At 40.1% G+C, this 19,190-nt stretch overlaps 2 annotated features.

Moving 5' to 3' along the window:
• Window positions 14,119-14,697: an enhancer, noted in NCBI's record as "OCT4-NANOG hESC enhancer chr4:129271007-129271585 (GRCh37/hg19 assembly coordinates)". NCBI's record gives its function as "activates a minimal SCP1, AML or CMV promoter by ChIP-STARR-seq in naive H9 embryonic stem cells {active_cell/tissue: H9 hESC(naive)}" and the evidence as "EXISTENCE:reporter gene assay evidence [ECO:0000049][PMID:30033119]".
• Window positions 14,732-15,270: an enhancer, noted in NCBI's record as "H3K4me1 hESC enhancer chr4:129271620-129272158 (GRCh37/hg19 assembly coordinates)". NCBI's record gives its function as "activates a minimal SCP1, AML or CMV promoter by ChIP-STARR-seq in naive H9 embryonic stem cells {active_cell/tissue: H9 hESC(naive)}" and the evidence as "EXISTENCE:reporter gene assay evidence [ECO:0000049][PMID:30033119]".

The raw sequence follows: 19,190 nt of genomic DNA on the forward strand, positions 1-19,190 counted from the left end.
CTAATAACTCAGTTGTGACTAAGGTAGAGAGACTTACTTCACTTGGTTCAAATCAAACGTAACACTGAGTTCTTTGGGCTTGACTTTGAGTCTTTTTAACACTGTGAAGTAAGAAGTGGTGAGAGATCAAAAATTAATCTGAGAGAGTCACTTTATATATTTTAAGATGATTGCACTGGTGATATCACTGCTCAAGAAAGTTTGCAAGCACACAAAGACCTTTAATCTCTAATGCTTAAGCTTACTATAATAACATTTTTCTTAAGAGAGAAAAAGGGGCACCAACAATTTAGAATTCCTTATATCATTAACACTAAAAAAAGTTGCCCTAGGACTTCTTTTCTCAAAGAAGCTGTCAAAATTGACCCAAGGTAATCCTCCTAAACTCTATGTCCTTGGGGTGAAGGTGTATCTCACCTTTACTTTTACTGTAGTGAAAATAAAGTGGAAGTTACCAAGTAAGCAGAGAAAACTGTGTAATAACGTTTGATACCATATCATATTAAATCTGTTCTAATCTGTTCTTATAATTGTATTGCTTTGATTACTTAAATTTTAGAAAGCCTTGTATTTCACAGTGCATAGGTAGGTGGCTTATAGTTGATAATATTTGGTGACTGGTTTCCAAAAAGGGTTGCTCAGTTGACACTTGCTTAGAAGTATAGCTATTTCAACAGTAAATAAGATTCTACTTACATCATTTTGGCTTACAGCACTTTTCCCACTATCTTTTTTTTTTTTTTTTTTTAATTTGAGGTAGGATCTTGCTCTGTCCCCCAGACTGGAGTGTAGTGGCATGATCTTGGCTCACTGCAACCTCCACCTCCTGGGTTCAAGTGATTCTCCCTGTCAGCCTCCTGAGTAGCTGAGATTATGGGCATGCACCAACATACGCAGCTGATTTTTGTATTTTTATTAGAGACAAGGTTTCATGATGTTGCCCAGGCTGGTGTTGAACTCTTAGGCTCAAGCGATCCACCTACCTCTGCCTCCCAAAGATTTTTCCCATTATCTTGACATGTAATAAAAATGTTGGGCATTAGCCTCTTGGTCAAGAGTGAACCTCTTTATAATAGCATTGTTTCTATGGAAAAATTAAAGTCTATGTTTTGTTGATTTGAAATAACTTTGACAGGAACTTAACTCACATAAATGAAAAATTGCTTGTCTTATAGGTCTTTTTTCTCTTTGTGTAAACTTATGGGATATGTGATCACAAACATTAATGCAGTTTAAAGTTGCTTTTAAGTAGTATGCCTTTTAATTAAGTTTGTACAGAAGAGGTGGATCCAGAACTTGGAGGCTGGGACATGCCAGTCTGGGGAGTTTGAGGTGGGCTGTGTGGAGCTATTGAAGCTTTTGAGAATTTAAGTAACCAGAATGAATCAGAATTTTTGAAACTATAATTGGGTCATTGAAAGAAGACGGAGATCTGTTAGAAAACTGGTTTAGGGATGAGATAATGAAGGCCTGAGCTAATGTGCTGGCTTAGAAAGCAAACATAAAGGGGGAAAGGGATAAAGGCAATATCTGAAAGGACCTAGGATGCTGAATAAAAGTGGGGCATGAGGGGAAATGGTAAGAAGGACTGCAATTTTGTGTTTGAGGGAGTGAGGGTAGGGATTTGGCTTTTCTTTTCTTTTTCTTTTTCTTTTTTTTTTTTTTTTTTGAGATGGAGTTTTCACTCTTGTCGCCCAGGCTGGAGTGCAGTGGTGCAATGTCGGCTCACTGCAACCCCTGCCTCCTGCGTTCAAGCAGTTCTCTTGTTTCAGCCTCCTGAGTAGCTGGGATTACAGGTGCCTGCCACCACACCCAGCTAATTTTTGTATTTTTTAGTAGAGATGGGGTTTCCCCACGTTGGCCAGGATGGTCTCGAACTCCTGACCTCAGGTGATCCACCTGCCTCGGCCTCCCAAAATGCTGGGATTACAGGTGTGAGCCACCACACCTGGCCTGGCTTTTCTACCACTGTATCTACAGGTCTACAGCAGTGCTTGGCATGTAGGAGGTACTCAATAAATAGTTGCTGAAACAATGAAGGGCATTTGTATAATCAAACATGAGATAAAGTTACCCATATGACATTCTCAAATTGATTCCTCCCTTAATATTTGTGTAACACCCATCTGGCACTCAGTGTGAATATTTACCAACCATATAGTATGGCTTTTTCTCTCACCAGCAGGCCTAATTTGGCAGACTGGTTTTGTAGCATGGTAGCCCTTCATCTTCCTCTTGGAGTGAATTTTAGCTTCCCTAAAGGGTGATGTTTGCATAACTCTTCCTTCATCTTTGGAACAAGAACATCATTTGCTAGTAGACCTTGCTACTCATTTCCTTCCTCCGTAAAGTCGTTAAGAGCAATGTGTTGCATTAGTATTTGCTTGCTTTGTGTGGTGTATGGGAACTGGAAGGAAAGGGTTCACTTGCAGAGAGGAAGCCTAAGGAGCCAGGGCTTATGCCCAGAAATCCTTCATCAAATAAGGATTTATGGAATACAAGGACAGTCTAGAAGGGTAGAATCCCTGTCCTTGGGAAAGTTAAGTAGAGGAGGCCAAAATGGTATAGTGGAAAGAGTCTAAACAGGAAATAAAGAAAACTCATGTGACATTGAACAACTTAACATTTTCTTGGGTTTTATTTCCTTCATATGTTAAAAAAGAGAGACTTGGGTTAGATAATCTCAAAGACTCTTTCAAGCCCTAAAGTCTATAATTCTTTTTCTGACCTTAAATGCATTGATGAACTATCATTTGTTCCTCACCATCTCTTCTGTCTAGCTTCCTTCTCAATACTTCGCCTGTGTTGCATGTTTCTCCCAGCAATTTCTTTAAGCCCTAACCAACATTCTGATTGTGTTTGTAGCTATAATCATGGCAGCAAGTCTTCCTCATTTATTCAGACTTAATAACTTAGTCTATTTAAGTTAGGCAAAACATTTGTTGTGTTTGAAACAGCTAGTTTGGTAAGATTGTAAAAGGTGCCAGAAATTTATTAGGAGCTGCCTCAGATACATCAGCCTGTTTGCTGTTAGTGTCTGTGACCCACATATTTACACCCCACTCTGTTTCCTCTGAGTCACAACATTCCACTTAGGACTTGGTGGTTGTGGTTGGCCTTATCAACTCTAGGCCATCACTTGGAATCATTTTTCTTGCCTAATGCCACATGGACACATAGTCCTATCATAAGCATTAAAGAGTAAGCAGATGTCTTGTTAGGTGGCATCTCTTCTTGCTGTTAAGGAAGGCCTGAGCTCGCTCTTATATTCTTTGTTCAACAGATTTGTTACCGGACCATTGCCTATTCTGTTTTTAAAAAGCTATTACAGCATTTTTCCTCTCTGAGAAAACTCCTTGATAAATACATATAGGAATGTTGACATCAGATTCTTATGTGTTTATTAAATTTGAGAAGTGGAGCTTAACAAGGAGGGCATGGTTTTAAGCTGACAATGTAGTGCTATAAAATACAGGGGAAGGCTCGGAATGGTGGCTCATGCCTGTAATCTCAGCACTTTGGGAGGCCAAGGTGGGTGCATGGCTTGAGCCCAGGAACTTGAGACCAGCCTGGGCAACATAGGAAGATACTGTCTCTATAAAAAACGAAAAATAAAATACAGGTGAAGACCAAACTAGAATGCAGGCCCTGAGTAGAACTTCTAAACTTTGTTTATAAATGCAATAGTATTGAGTCCCTAAAAAAAGACACTGTCTTTGAGAAGAACACATAAATGTTTAGAGATACCATATACCCAAAGGGAAGTATTACTCTGTTTTTCGTTGTTGTTGTTTCAGATGCTTGGCTTACTGTCTGGAATTAGTAGCTATCGCATCTGGGTATTTATAGAGTTCTAGTGGGAGCTGTTAATGAACCCTTCATTCAAATCTAAGACTAACCAAGACTTTCAATTTCAGAGCTTTTTTCCTAGGAGAACTGATTTAGAAACTTAGAAAATACATTTCTTCACAAACATGGTATAAACTTTCATAATATATGGACAAAAACAAGTCTCATTAAGGCCGAATGCCTTAAAGGGTGCTTACTTGGGTAACTATAGTCAGATAGAACCCACCCAGTCCAAGTGCCTGCGATTGGGGCAGATTTAACTACTATCTAGTCTCATTCAAGTTCACATGTTGCTCAGGGCTTCCGTTTCTTGACCTAGTGCTCCCCTGGGTGTCATGGACTTATGAGTTTCTTGGAAAGTCCTCAAGAGGCAGTTTATATGGGATTTAATAAGCTTTTGAGGATGAGTAGATGTCCATCTGTTAGATGCTGCAAGGGTGATGTGTAGGCTTTTGTCAATGGTGGACTCTCACTCTACAGCTCCTCAGCTTGGCTGATACGTGGTTTTCATTAGAATAGTGCTGGGTGGTTGATGAGTATTGGCTCAGATTCCTTACAGTTCTCTGGTATTAGTTATCATGTAGTTCTTCCATGTCTATTCCTCTTCTTTACCAGCACAGTCACCCACCACTACCATTTTTCTTTTAATCACAGCCCAAGTGATCCTCAGTTAACCTGGGAGATGGAGAGGGGATCATTTGCCTCTCTCTATTCTGTTTCCAATCTATTATTATGACATAAACTCCATGCCCTGCTTCCTTCATTTTTGCTGTAGCTGTTCAAATTCTCTGTAAGGCAATATGGGTGCCTCAGATTGAGTAGGATAGGGTCACTCCAAGGAAGTGCAGAACATTTTTTTAAAAACCACAAAGGTGGGTTGGGCGCGGTGGCTCACGCCTGTTATCCCAGCACTTTGGGAGGCTGAGGCAGGCAGATCATGAGGTCAGGAGTTCGAGACCATCCTGGCCAATATGGTAAAACCCTGTCTCTACTAAAAATAGAAAAATTAGCTGGGCGTGGTGGTGGTGGGCACCTGTAGTCTCAGCTACTCAGGAGGCTGAGGCAGGAGAATTGCTTGAACCCAGGAGGTGGAGATTGCAGTGAGCTGAGATCACACTACTGCACTCCAGCCTGAGCAACAGAGCGAGACTCCATCTCAAAAAACAAAAACAAAAACAAAACAACAAAAAAACCCCACAAAGGTTAGTATTTCAAGATACTACTTCACTGTGTATCTCAATACAATAATTCCTGGAAGGGATTCCTTAACTTGGAGTTTTATGAAGATGTCAAAAGTAGTTGTTGAAACCGTTGAACCTAGATTGTCAAAAGAAGCCCTCCTGGTGATTAAAGCCTATGAATTAAAAAAAAAGAGGCCCTCTTTTGTAGAGGCCTTTTAGGGGTTCTGACATCCCTAAGAAGTTGATGAGAAACTATAATTTGTGTGGCATAGAGAAGAGATTACATAAGGATTCTGTTCCTCTTTTTACATGTGGTCCAGAGAATCCTCTTCTAGACACTGAGTCCTTTATTCCTAATTCCTGTCTGATATGGTTTGGATTTGTGTCCCCACCCAAATCTCATCCAGAATTGGAGGAAGGGCCTGGTGGGAGGTGATTGGGTCATGGGGGTGAATTTCCCCCTTGCTGTTCTTGTGATAGTGAGTGAGTTCTCATGAGATCTGATGGTTTAAAAATGTGTGGCACTTCCCCCTTCATCCTCTCTCTCTTTCCTGCCACCATGTGAAGAAGGTCCTTGCTTCTTCTTTGCCTTCTGCCACGATCATAAGTTTCCTGAGGCCTACCAGTCATGCTTCCTGTTAAGCCTGTGGAATTGTGAGTCAATTAAACCTCTTTTTTTTTTTCATAATTTACCCAGTCTAAGGTAGTTCTTTGTAGCAGTGTGAAAATGGGCTAATACACGGCCTTTACTTGTGCATTGGCTTAAGTCTGGCATTAAGCCCTGAGCCTTTATCAGCTGGCTTCTCTGGGATGTTTTACCTCTCTGTACTGCTCTACCAGAACTGGCAATGGATATGCAACAACACGATTGTCTTTCTAATGGGCTCAGTGTCAGTGTCTGTGTCCTCCTTAGCAGATTAGTTCTTTTTGAGGGGTCAGACCCTTTTGTTCCACTGTGGTCAAGAGAGAGAAGTTTTACAGCTTTTTCGGTGGCTGTCTCGCCTTTTTTTTTACTATGCATATTCTGCTTATGTATGGATCACCTTTCTTGAAGTCCCCCTTGTGGTCAGTAACATAAGACACTGGAGTCCAGTGGCATGGTCTCAGCTCACTGCAACCTCCACCTCCCAGGTTCAAGTGATGTTATGCCTCAGCCTCTTGAGTAGCTGGGATTACAGGCCCATGCCACCACGCCTGGCTAATTTTTGCATATTTAGTAGAGATGGAGTTTCACCATGTTGACCAGGGTGGTCTCGAACTCCTGTCCTCAAGTGATCCATCTGCCTCAGCCTCCCAAAGTGCTGGGATTACAGGCATGAGCCACTGTGCCTGGCCAACATACCACATCCTGAGCAATAACTTTATACATCTCCTGGGTATCAGTGGCTTGGCACATTGGCTTTTCATCACTTCATTTTTATTCTCCCATGAATTACGTTTATTCTGAAGAGCTTGGCCTCAGTTGAGACTGAGAAGTTAGTCACCTTGACTACTTCTTGGTATTGTCATTGTAAATGTTATTTCCCAATGTGAAAGATGAGAACCTAGCTTTCTCTTACTTATCTCCCCTGCGCCTATCACATATTTGCTCACTTCCCATTCCTCCATCCTCCTAATATGGATATGTGGTGGTTTTAGTAGCATCAATATTCAGTGATTACATGATTATGATTATATAAATATTCAGTGATTACATGATATGATTATGTATATAAACCCATTTATCTGAGCCACGATAATATTTTCTTCTCTGTACAACTTTTTATTTTCCCTGAAACTAATAATTTTCATGTTTATACATTTTTTGTCTTCTTTGTGCTTATCTGCATATATCAGGGGTCAGCAAACTGTCTCGTGGGACAAATCCAGCCTGTTACCTGTTTTTGCAAATAAATTTGGTTTGCTTATTGTTTATGTCTGCTTTTGCCCTACAACAGCAGAGTTAAGTAGTGTGATGGAGACTGTATGGTCTGAAAAACCTAAAATATTTATTATCTGGCCTTTTATAAGAAAAATTTGCAACCTCTAGCTTATTATAATTCAACCTCAAACTACAAATTTTTAGTCTCTCTGCAACGTATTCAGAAACATTCAGTATTCTACTGACTTCATTTCCTGGGGCAAGCTCTTCTGGAGCCTTCTGACTTGTTTCTGACCTTTCAATTGGTCTGGTTGCCCTATGGGCCTGGGACACAGTTGTCAGGCTGTGTCACCCTTTATCATCCATCTGGAGATTCTCTTTGCTGTCTTCTGTGGTGGATCCTTTGTTAACTGTATCTCATGTCTTATTTCTTTTCTAGTGCTACTCTTTCATTTCAGTAGAATATATTCTCTTGCTTCCTGAAAAAGGATGAATGGAAAGTCAATTTTTTGAGACTTTGTCTGAAGATGCTTTTTAAAAAATCTTTCCTTCATATTTGACTAATAGTTTGGATTGGTTTAAAATTCTAGGTTGGGGAAAATTTTCTTCTGCTTTTTTTTTTTTTTTTTTTTTTTTGAGAGGGTCATACTCTGTTGCCCAGGCTGGAGTTCAGTGACAATCATCAGTCATAGCTCACTGCAACCTTGAACTGTTGGGCTGAAGTGATCCTCCCGCCTCAGTCTCCCAAGTAGCTGGGACTACAAACATGTGTCCATCACGCCCAGCTAATCTTTTATTTTTAGTAGAGTCAAGGTCTCTCTCTATTGCACAGGCTGGTCTTGAATTTCTGGCCTCGAGCGATCCTTCTGCTTTGACCTCCCAAAGTGCTGGGATTACAGGCATGAGCCACTACACCCAGTTTCTGCTTTTGAAGCCATTGTTCCCTTATCTTCTAGCTTCCAGTATTGTTGTTGGGATGTCTAAAACCATTTTGATTCCATTTGTTTTCTATATGACTTTAAAGGAAGTCTCTTCAGTGTTTATTGGATTGTCTCTTTTTCCCAATCCTCTGCCATTTCGTAATGCTATGCCTTGCTGTGGATCTATTTTCATTACTTAGGCAGGCATTTAGTGAGTCTTTTTAACCTGAAAATTCATGTCCTTCAGTTCTGAGGATTGTTCTTAAATTATGTAATTGATGTTTTCCTCCTGGGACATACTTTAAGGCAGAGCTTTTTTTTTTTTTTTTAAGAGAAAATATATTAACATTTATTAAGTGGAAGTGGATCATCATAAACTTCTTCAGGATGAGTAGGCTGAGGAGGGGGAAGAGGAGGGATTAATCCTGCTGTCTCAGAGTGGCAGAGGCAGAAGAAAATCTGCATATAAATGGACCCACACAGTTTAAAGCTGTGTTGTTCAAGCATCAACTGTACATGTATGTTACACCTGAGTTGGGCAATACCTACAAGTCCTTGGGCTACACTCTTGCCTTTGACCATAGGAACCACGAGAAAATCTCAGGCATTTCTTCAGGCTCTGCCTCTCACCCTTGGGTTTGGATCCTTTTTTTCTTTTTGGTAAACTTTTTTATTATTATACTTTAAGTTCTAGGGTACATGTGCACAATGTGCAGGTTTGTTACATAGGTATACATGTGCCATGTTGGTGTGCTGCACCCATTAACTCATCATTTACATTAGATATATCTCCTAATGCTATCCCTCCCCCTTCCCCCACCCCACAACATGCCCCGGTGTGTGATGTTCCCCTTCCTGTGTCCAAGTGTTCTCATTGTTCACTTCCCACCTGTGAGTGAGAACATGCAGTGTTTGGTTTTTTGTCCTTGTGATAGTTTGCTGAGAATGATGGTTTCCAGCTTCATCCATGCCCCTACAAAGGACATGAACTCATCGTTTTTTATGGCTGCATAGTATTCCATGGTGTATATGTGCCACATTTTCTTAATCCAGTCTATCATTGATGGACATTTGGGTTGGTTCCAAGTCTTTGCTATTGTGAATAAGTGCCGCAATAAACATACGTGTGCATGTGTCTTTATAGCAGCATGATTTATAATCCCTTGGGTATATACCCAGTAATGGGATGGCTGGATCAAATAGTATTTCTAGTTCTAGATCCTGGAGGAATCACCACACTGTCTTCCACAATGGTTGAACTAGTTTACAGTCCCACCAACAGTATAAAAGTGTTCCTATTTCTCCACATCCTCTCCAGCACCTGTTGTTTCCTGACTTTTTAATGATTGCCATTCTAACTGGTGTGAGATGGTATCTCATTGTGGTTTTGATTTGCATTTCTCTGATTGGCAGTGATGATGAGCATTTTTTCATGTGTCTGTTGGCTGCATAAATGTCTTCTTTTGAGAAGTGTCTGTTCATATACTTCGCCCACTTTTTGATGGGGTTGTTTGTTTTTTTCTTGTAAATTTGTTTGAGTTCATTGTAGATTCTGGATATTAGCCCTTTGTCAGATGAGTAGATTGCAAAAATTTTCTCCCATTCTGTAGGTTGCCTGTTCACTCTGAGGGTAGTTTCTTTTGCTGTGCAGAAGCTCTTTAGTTTAATGAGATCCCATTTGTCAATTTTGGCTTTTGTTGCCATTGCTTTTGGTGTTTTAGACATGAAGTCCTTGCCCATGCCTATGTCCTGAATGGTATTGCCTAGGTTTTCTTCTAGGGTTTTTATGGTTTTAGGTCTAATATTTAAGTCTTTAATCCATCTTGAATTAATTTTTGTATAAGGTGTAAGGAAGGGATCCAGTTTCAGCTTTCTACATATGGCTAGCCAGTTTTCCCAGCACCAGCACCATTTATTAATTAGGGAATCCTTTCCCCATTTCTTGTTTTTGTCAGGTTTGTCAAAGCTCAGTGAGTCCTCTGCAACCATGACACTTAGTTGCTGGCTGACTTTGGGCAAGTATTAAATAGGGATAATGATGATGGGAATGACGATGATGATGATGGTGAAAAAGTAGCTTGGGTTTTTGTGAGGTTAAATTTAAAAGTGCCTATCAAAATGCCTGGCAACATAGTAAGTCCCAGACTTTCTCTCCCAAACCCCTACATGTGATAAGAAAAAACAGATTAGTATTAGGATTGTTTCTACACTTTAAGGGAACATGTAAACTATAGCCTGTGCTGTATCAGAAGGACAGTGAATACCATGTAGTGCTCTGGTTTTGAGTAGTTCATACTTCACATTCTCACTGCCCTTGAGAGCTTGGTTTATACTATGTCAACTCACACGTGTTTAGCTCTTATGTCACATTATAATTGCTCTCAGATAGTTTTGATGGACATTTTGCCTACCCAGTCAGATGATAAACTACACAAAGGCAGGGATACCTTCCATTAACTTTGAATCATCCATAGTTCCTGGAACAGGGTTCTGTAGATGAAACATTTCTATTCTTAGTGATAACAGCTTGAAATGAAACATTTACTTATTCTTCTTATTGGTTGAAGGGATAGAACGTGAATAAAACAGAGCTTAGGGGTTTTGGAGAATGTGATTACCAACTCAAATATCCAACAAGATGTTTCTTAGCAGTTGTCTGGATGACAACATGATGATCCTGATTTATTATTGCTTTGCTTTAAATACCACTTAGGAGATAATAGCAATTTACTGTTGGCTCTGGTTTCCTATTCATCCCTTCACTGGTCTTGGGTAATGTTATTGTCATACACAAAAATTGCAATATGTAAAACATGCATAGTTTCTATTTTATTCATAAGATCCATTAGGGCAAGAACCTTGCCTTAGTAGCTTTCATATTTCCAGTGCCTAGACTAGTGCCTGACACATTATAAGCACTCAGAATAAATTATGTTGGATGACTCTTCATACTTATACGTAATGCTAAGTAAGGCTATAGGCGAGTACTTTGGGGTGCTGAGAGTGTGCTGGTTTTCAAAATAGAACATTAGTTTTTCTCAGACTTCTGAGAGTTTGTGGTCTTCTAGGTATTCTAGGTATTTGACCACAAATAATCTATGATCATTTTATGTTATGAAATTCACCAAATATCTTCTATTTTTTTTTTTTTTTTTTTTGGAGACAGAGTCTCACTGCGATGCCCAGGCTGGAGTGTAGTGGCGTGATCTTGGCTCACTGCAACCTCCACCTCCTGAGTTCAAGCAATTCTCATGCCTCAGCCTCCTAAGTAGCTGGGATTACAGGCACCCGCCACCACACCCAGCTAATTTTTGTATTTTTAGTAGAGACAGGGTTTCACCATGTTGGCTAGGCTTGTCTTGAACTTCTGACATCAAGAGATCTGCCTGCCTTGGCCTCCTAAAGTGCTGGGATTACAGGCATGAACCACTGCACCCAGCCCCCTATTTTTAAGTTTCTCTGAAATTTTACTGAAAGAGTTAACTTATTTAGTTATAGAACAATTAAGTTAGATCTAATATTTGATAATTCAAGCAGTGTACACATGCATATATTGATAAGTATGTTTTACTCAAAAATATTTTCACTGTGGAATATCCTAGAATTGCATCACATTAAAAAAATTATTTAACTGACAAATGATTTTTTATTGTAGTAAAATTCAGTTAGTATAAAATTTACCATTTAAATCATTTTTTTCCCTACTGCCTGTAAAATTGCAGAGTCATCTTTTTTTGTTGTTGTTGTCCTTTTAAAAAAAAAAAAACCAGGGTCTTACTCTGTTGCCCAGGCCTGAGTGCAGTGGCACAAACAGAGCTCACTGCAGCCTTGACCTCCTGGTTTCAAGCCTCTGCTTCTCAAGTAGCCGGGACTACAGGTGTGTGGCACCATGCCCGGCTGTTTTTTATTTTTTATTTTCTTTGTAGAGATTAGGTCTCTCTATGTTGGTCAGGTTGGTCTTGGACTCCTGGACTCAAGTGATCCTCCTGCCTCAATCTTTCAAAGCGCTCAGGCTACAGGTGTAAGCCACTGTGCCCAGCTTAGATTAAGCATTTTTAAAGCATACAATTCATTGGTATTTAGGACGTTCACATGGTTGTGCAACTACCACCACTATCTAGCTCCAGAACATTTTCATCACCCCAGATGGAAACAGGAGACAATAAGCAGCCACTCCCCATCCTCCCCTACCCACAGCTCCTGGAAACTACTAATCTGTTTTCTGTCCCTATAGATTTGCCTATTCTTGGATATTTCATATAAATGGTATCATACCATTTACAGTCACAAAGCCTTTTGTGACTGGCTTTTTTAACTTAACATGATGTTTTCAAGGTTCATGGATGCTGAGGCATGTCTCAGGACTTCTTTCTATTTTAAGGCTGAAAAATATTCTATTGGATGGTTATACCATGTTTATTTGTTCATTCATGAATTGATGGACATTTGTGTTTTTTTCTGTCTTTTGGCTAGTAGAAATAGTGCTGCTGTGAACACTGGTGTACAAGCATCTGCTTGACTCCCTGTTTTCAATTATTTTGGGCATATACCTAGGAATGAAATTGCTGAGTCATATGGTATTTTATGTTTGACTTATTGAGGAATCACCAAAAGGCTGCACACTTTACATTCCCACCAGCAATGTATGAGAGTTCTGATTTCTCCATATACTCATCAGCATTTACTGTTTTCTGTTTTTTTTTAATTATAGCCAATCTACAAATGATTTTAAACTTTGTTACAAATTCTTATCCCTCTGTGGGAGCATATTTATAACCCCACATTGCATATTTCTGGGACAGTTTTGATGTTTGATCTGCTTGTTCTCCGGGCAGAGGGAGTGTGATTTCTGTAATGCTAACTGTGCTCTCCAGCCGCCCGGCATTGTGTTGTTTGGGTGTCTGGGAGTGTCAGACTTGGAATGTTACTGTTGATTGCTGTGGACAGTTTTCATCTCTGAAGGGAAGATATACAGGTTTGGGGCTAGAGTGAAGACTGTTCTTGGAGATATTTTTAACCACGTCCAAATAACTCCATGCCAACAAATATAAAATGAGTAATCATTCTTTTTGTTTTGATGTCAAAAAGAATACATTTGTAATAACTCCACTCTTTTTCTAAAAAGGAGTAGTGTCTTCTTCTGTCAGAAAATGATTTTAGATTACAGTATTTGGCAAGTTTTAGAGCTTCACTGTCTATTTTATGATAGTATAAACGTTTTCTTCTTTGAAAGACAAATTTACACAATAAGATATGTAAGAAGTAGAGTAAAGCAGCAATGTTTAAATACATTGTTATGTTCAGGTTTTAGATCCTGACCTGAATTTTAGAATAAATATACAAAAAAGGTGTTTTTTTAAGTTCATCTAGGGGTGATTGAGGCTACAAAATTTATGCCATGTTTTCAACTGTCAAGGCTGCTTTTAGAATCCAGAGGAGGCCTGTAAGTACAAAGATGTAGAGATGAATAAAGAAAGACAGTGGCCCATTCTTTCTGTTTTTTCACAGTCTCCCTTAGGGTGTGAGTTAGGTGCTTATGTGCAATTAAAAAAAAATTATTGATTGGCCGGGTGCGGTGGCTCACGCCTGTAATCCCAACACTTTGGGAGGCTGAGGTGGGCGGATCACCTGAGGTCAGGAGTTCGAGACCAGCCTGACCAGTATGATGAAATCCCATCTCTACTAAAAATACAAAAATTAGCTGGGCATGGTGGCATGCGCCTGTAATCCCAGCTACTCGGGAGGCTGAGACAGGAGAATCGCTTGAACCCGGGAGGCGGAGGTTGCAGTGAGCTGAGATGGTGCCATTGCACTCCAGCCTGGACAACAAGAGCGAAACTCTGTCTCAAAAAAAAAAATTATTGATTGATTAGGGATGTGGGTTAAATGGTAGGCTGGTAGGCTGCTATTAACTTTCTCATGTACTTCCCCAAAGAAGCCCATGAGGTAGAAACACAAATGTATGGATATCATTTTAACACTATACTATACTATTTGGGAAACATTTTAGTTTTATTGGGAGGGAAACATTTATTAGTATCTCAAAAGATGCCAGTCTTCAAAGTACTCTCCTACCTGTGACAGGAACCATTACATAAGAAAATTAACGAAAGACCTGTAGAGAATAAAAGGTAAAGAAATACTGTATCTAATAGTTTCTAGCATATAAACACTGGATTTTAGGTAGCATTATTGTACAATGATGTGCATAGTAGGCTTTCAAAAAGCGTTTGTAGAATTAATGAAGGAAATGAATAATTCATTAATGAATAATGAAGAAAGAAAAAAATTGTATAAACTGAACTGAACTGAAATATTTAACTTAAAGGACCAAATAATCTAAAGAGGAATCTTTATTTGTTTCTGCTCCCAAAGAGCTCATGTTTTGTATTTAGTTATAGTTCAACAATGTTTATTTAATGCCTTCTACATGCGAGGCACTGAGATGACGTAAGGAGGTTAGATAGGGGATGAGCGGAATGTAAACAAAGATGTGTAGTAATAGAAGTACTTCAAAGGTCAGAACAGACAGGATGATGAAAGAGGAGGAAGACATTAACTCTGCCAATGGTGGCATATTAGAAGAAATTAACAAAAGAATTGAGCTCAGTTTTGAAGGTAAATGCTGGTTTATCAGGATGACAATGGGCATGGAAATTCTGGGTAGCAGGAACAACATTGATAGTGACAGGAGGCAGTCAGATGCCTAGGCAGATAGGGGTGAGTCCCCAGCAAAATCCCACCTCCAAGTCGAAGACCATGTAAAGCCTGAAAGCCAAGTTACAAGTTAAATGCTGGGACCAGATTGAGAACCTGTCTTCCCATTTGGTGTGCTTTCCTCTGATTGGTCTCTGCCTTTCACCCATTTTACATATACCTACCCTTTCCTAATTGGTTTTCTACATTGTGGTGCCCACCTTTGAGTGGTGTCTTTGCTTTAAACTTTTTTGCATACTCACAAACCAATCAGCATGCACTCCCCATTCTGAGTCCATAAAAAGCCCCAGACCCAATCACACAGGGAGAAACCACCCGACTGTGGGGGCGGGGGTACCTTCCTCCCACCCTGCATCCCCTCTCTTCTGAGAGCTGTTCTGTCACTCAATAAAATCCTCTGCTGTCATCACCCTTCAGTCATCAGTGTGATGTCATTTTTCTTGGTTGCTGGACAAGAGCTTAGGACCCACTGAGCACAGGTACTCTGAAAAGCTGTAGTACTGGCCCTTGCCCTTGCCAGCAGAGAGCAGCCACCCTGCACAATGGAGCAATGGACCGACTGAGCTGCTAACATGCTGCCATAAGGCTGCGGACAGTGGAACTACAAGAGCTAATTATCACACTAACACCTGCTCTGGGGCTTCAGGGTCAAGGGCATCCCTCCCTGGGCACTGCCCTATTCCCTTCGAGGTAACATGCCTGGCTTGGCCATGGGCCCTGCACAGAGCTTGCTCCTGTGTTGGTGGTCAGAGTGGCTGGCCAGGTTCCACACTTGCTCGCTCACATGCTCCCTCCTGCAAGGGGCTGAGCATGGCAGGCCAAGTAGAGGGGGCACCCCTGCTGCGAATCCAGCAAAGGGGCTGAAAAAAATCCTTCTTTGACATGGCTAAGATGTCGAGGCATGAACCAATGTAGTGTGCTCAGGAAATACAAATAATTTGGCACTGGTGGTTCTGAAACTGTAAGGTTTAAGGAGAAATAGGGAAATATGAGGCTGGAAAGATACTCCAGGCCTGTGTCATGGTGCCTTATATTCTATAATAAGGGTCTTGGGATTTATCTGGTAGTCACTGGAAAGCCATTCAATTGCTTTAAACAAAGGACTGACCACTGAGATTTGGAATTCTTGTTGAGATTTTTTTGTGGAGCAGTATTTCTCCCAAGAGCACATACATTAAAATCTTCTGTTGTGCCTGTTAAAAATTCAGAGCCCTGAACTCCATCCTGGTATAAAGCAAAAATAAAATTTTAATCCCCTTGACCATCCCAATGGCCCCTTCTCTTGGCAAGGGCATTCCAAAGTTAAATGGAAAAACTAGTTTTAGACCATGATGGGAAGGGGGTGTTGGAACTCCTTCCTTTTGGAATTACTGATAGAACAGACTTTTTAAGTCTGATAAGAAACATTTACAATCTATTCTCAAAGTCTGCTACCAGGAGGCTTCACCTGCATGATAAAACCTTGGTCTCCACAACTCCTTATCTTAACCCAGACAGTCCTAAGTTTTTAGACAATAACCTAACTGTTTCAATCCATGCCAATCAATAAGTCTTTAAATCTGCCTATGACTTGGAGGCCCTTCCTTCCAAGTAGTTGTCCTGCCTTTCTGGACCAAACGAATGTACATCCTATGTGTATCTGATAGATGTCTCATGTCTCCCTAAAATCTGTAAAACTAAGCTGTACCCCAACCACTTTGGGCACATGTTCTCAGGATCTCCTGAGGGTTGTGTCACAGGCCGTTGGTCACTCATATTTGGCTCAGAATAAATCTCTTCAAATATTTTACAGAGTTTGACTCTTTTTGTCAACACTGGGTTTACTGAATCAGAATCCTGGTGGAAAACTTTGGAATCTGTGTATTTAACCTTCCAAGAAGATCCCCTTGCACCCTGCAGTTTTGAACACATTGCTCTCAGGGGTACGGGGTTGAAAAGGTGGGCAAGACTGAATGCAGAGAGGTCATCTAGGAGGTGATGTCACTCCAAGTGAGAAAGTTTGAAGTAGTGTCAATGGGGATAGAAGATAGAATATGATAAGCTTGAGAGATATTTTGGGGATAAAATCACATGTAGTTGGTGCTTGGATAGACTGAGTGAAGAAGAAGGTTTCAAGCCAGGTTTCTGTCTTAATTGTCGGGTGGTGCATTAATAGTTATTATTAAAGTTTTAATAAGTTATACTTTTCCTTTTATATATAATTTAAAAAATTTGATACATTCCTAAATTTGATTATTGTTTCCTTTCAGGGCCAACTTGTTTTGTTGTTGAATTTTATGGTAGAAATAAAATGAAAAAATGTCACTTCATTAAAATCTGTTATACTCAACTTGTCAGGAAAACATTTATTTATTCAGTTGTAGATCCCAAAGTACCTATTTGTCAAAGTACCTAAAATGAATAAATAGCTTTATTTCTGATATCTCTGGAAGAAATTATACTTGCAAAACTTAAAGTCTAATTCAGCATCCAGCCAAAGTTATTGGAAGTATCAGCCAATGAGCTGGAGACACAGCAAGGCTTAGTAGATAGATCTTTCAAGTCAGGCAGAACCCAATAAAATTATTAAATATGTATATATGTCTCTGTCACTGTCCCTTTTCCATCTCTTCCTTTCTGGTCCTGTCCTGAAGAAGAGACTCCTACATACTACTTGTATCTATTGTTGCTACTAATTCTTGTTAACTGATGTGCTGACAAATAAGAACCAAACATAGAATTATTTTGGGAAGGTGGTGGATATTATAAAGCCCACCCATTTCTGCACTTCCCTACATTTCTCAGACTCCTGTGCAGTTAGGTTGGCCATGTGACTGATTTCTGGCTAATGGAATGTGGGTGGAAATGGTGTTCTCTACTTGTAAGCTTCTTGATCTTCCATGCTCTGAATCTGAAATATCCTGCATATCTACCATGCTCTCCTTATCTCATTCCTGGTCCTCTAAAATGGCTCCAGACATCTGCATCAGACTTTGCATGAGCAAGAAATACTTTTATCATGTTAGTCTGCTGAGATTCCAGCTTATTCTGTAACATAGCATTGCTGACTCTGATCAATGCATAGGGGTATTCTCAATTTTATGGGTGACTACTAACGGTATTTAAGTTAAAAATGGATGAAACTAGGCTGGGTGTGGTGGCTCATGCCTGTAATCCCAGCACTTTGGGAGGCCGAGGTGGGTGGATCACAAGGTCAGGAGTTCAAGACCAGCCTGGCCAATATGGCGAAACCCCGTCTGTACTAAAAAATACAAAAATTAGCCAGGCGTAGTGGTGAGCACCTGTAGTCCAAGCTACTTGGGAGGCTGAGGCAGGAGAATCGCTTGATCTCGGGAGGCGGAGGTTGCAGTGAGCCAAGATCGTGCCATTGCACTCCAGCCTGGGCAACAGAGTGAGACTCTGTCTCAAAAAAAAAAAAAAAAAAGGGTGAAACTAATGATGGAATGATACGCATTGAGGTGACTCTTTAGGGATAAAGGAGAACTCTTCTGGTACAGACTTAAGTTACATCATAAAGATACCCTCCTTGAGCCCTAAGGCTGTTTCTTGACATCAGAACTTATCTTTTATGTGCCTGGTCCTGCTCCCATCATGTTTTCAGTTTTTTTCTTTTTTTTCTTACTTACAGAGTGGGGTGATTAATACCCATGTGATGGAATTATTGTGGAGATTAAAAGAGGTGCCATATGTAAAATGTCTAGACCAGCGCCTAGCACATAGCAGGCGCCAGAGCCATCCTGGGAGAGCATCAGAAATGCGATCCCATAATTAACTTTGTAAACTTCTGATGTGATTCACAGATGGGTGTTATTTACATTAGTGACATCTAGTAGTTTTAAAGTTCTTACTTAAAATTTGAACTCTCTAAATTTCAGTGTCATAGGGCTCTGACTACTCTGCCCAAGTTGCTGCACTGATAAGTGTCCAATAAATGTTAGGTATCTATTGTTGTTTTCCTATTGTTCTTCAAAAGGAGGTGAAAGTAACATTGCCATTGTGGGGATTGTTTGTTCTACAGGCTTGGGCTGGGAAGGCCGGATCTCCATGGCCAGGCTGTTAGCTGGGCAGTGGTGTGCAACTGATTGGACTGGTGCCAGTCTGACTGACTCGTTTTAAAGGTCAGAACAACTAGACTGAACCATGGGCATAATAACTATATGTTCTAATCATGCTTATCCTCAAATTGTTTCTTTCTGTAAACAAAAGCAGGAAGAGCATCACATGGGGGTGGAATGGTGCATTTCGAAAGACCTGAGATCAGACCTCCATAGTTCCCAGCTTTGCTGCTGTGTGACAGTGCAGACTTATTTAACCTCTGTGGCTTCATTTCCTCACCTTTGAAATGAGAGCATTAGACTAGAGGATCTTAAGGGTCCTTTCTCTAACCTACCAGAACCTAAACATAGTTGAAGTTCCACATGACTCAGCCTCTGTGAAAGAATGAATTCAAAGGAATGGTCTGGTATCTAAATGGTAATTAGGATTCTTCAAATATTTTTGCAGTCTCTCAGTAAACTGCCAAAGTGGAGTGTGCATTTTTTTTTTTTGGAACGGAGTATTCTTTTTTAAAAAACAGCTTTATTGAGGCGTCATTTACATACCATACAATTCATCCATTTAAAGTATACAATTCGATGTTAGTGTGGGGTATGCATTCTTACT

Source organism: Homo sapiens, chromosome 4 (assembly GCF_000001405.40).
Source record: "Homo sapiens chromosome 4, GRCh38.p14 Primary Assembly".
Lineage (NCBI taxonomy): Eukaryota > Metazoa > Chordata > Mammalia > Primates > Hominidae > Homo > Homo sapiens.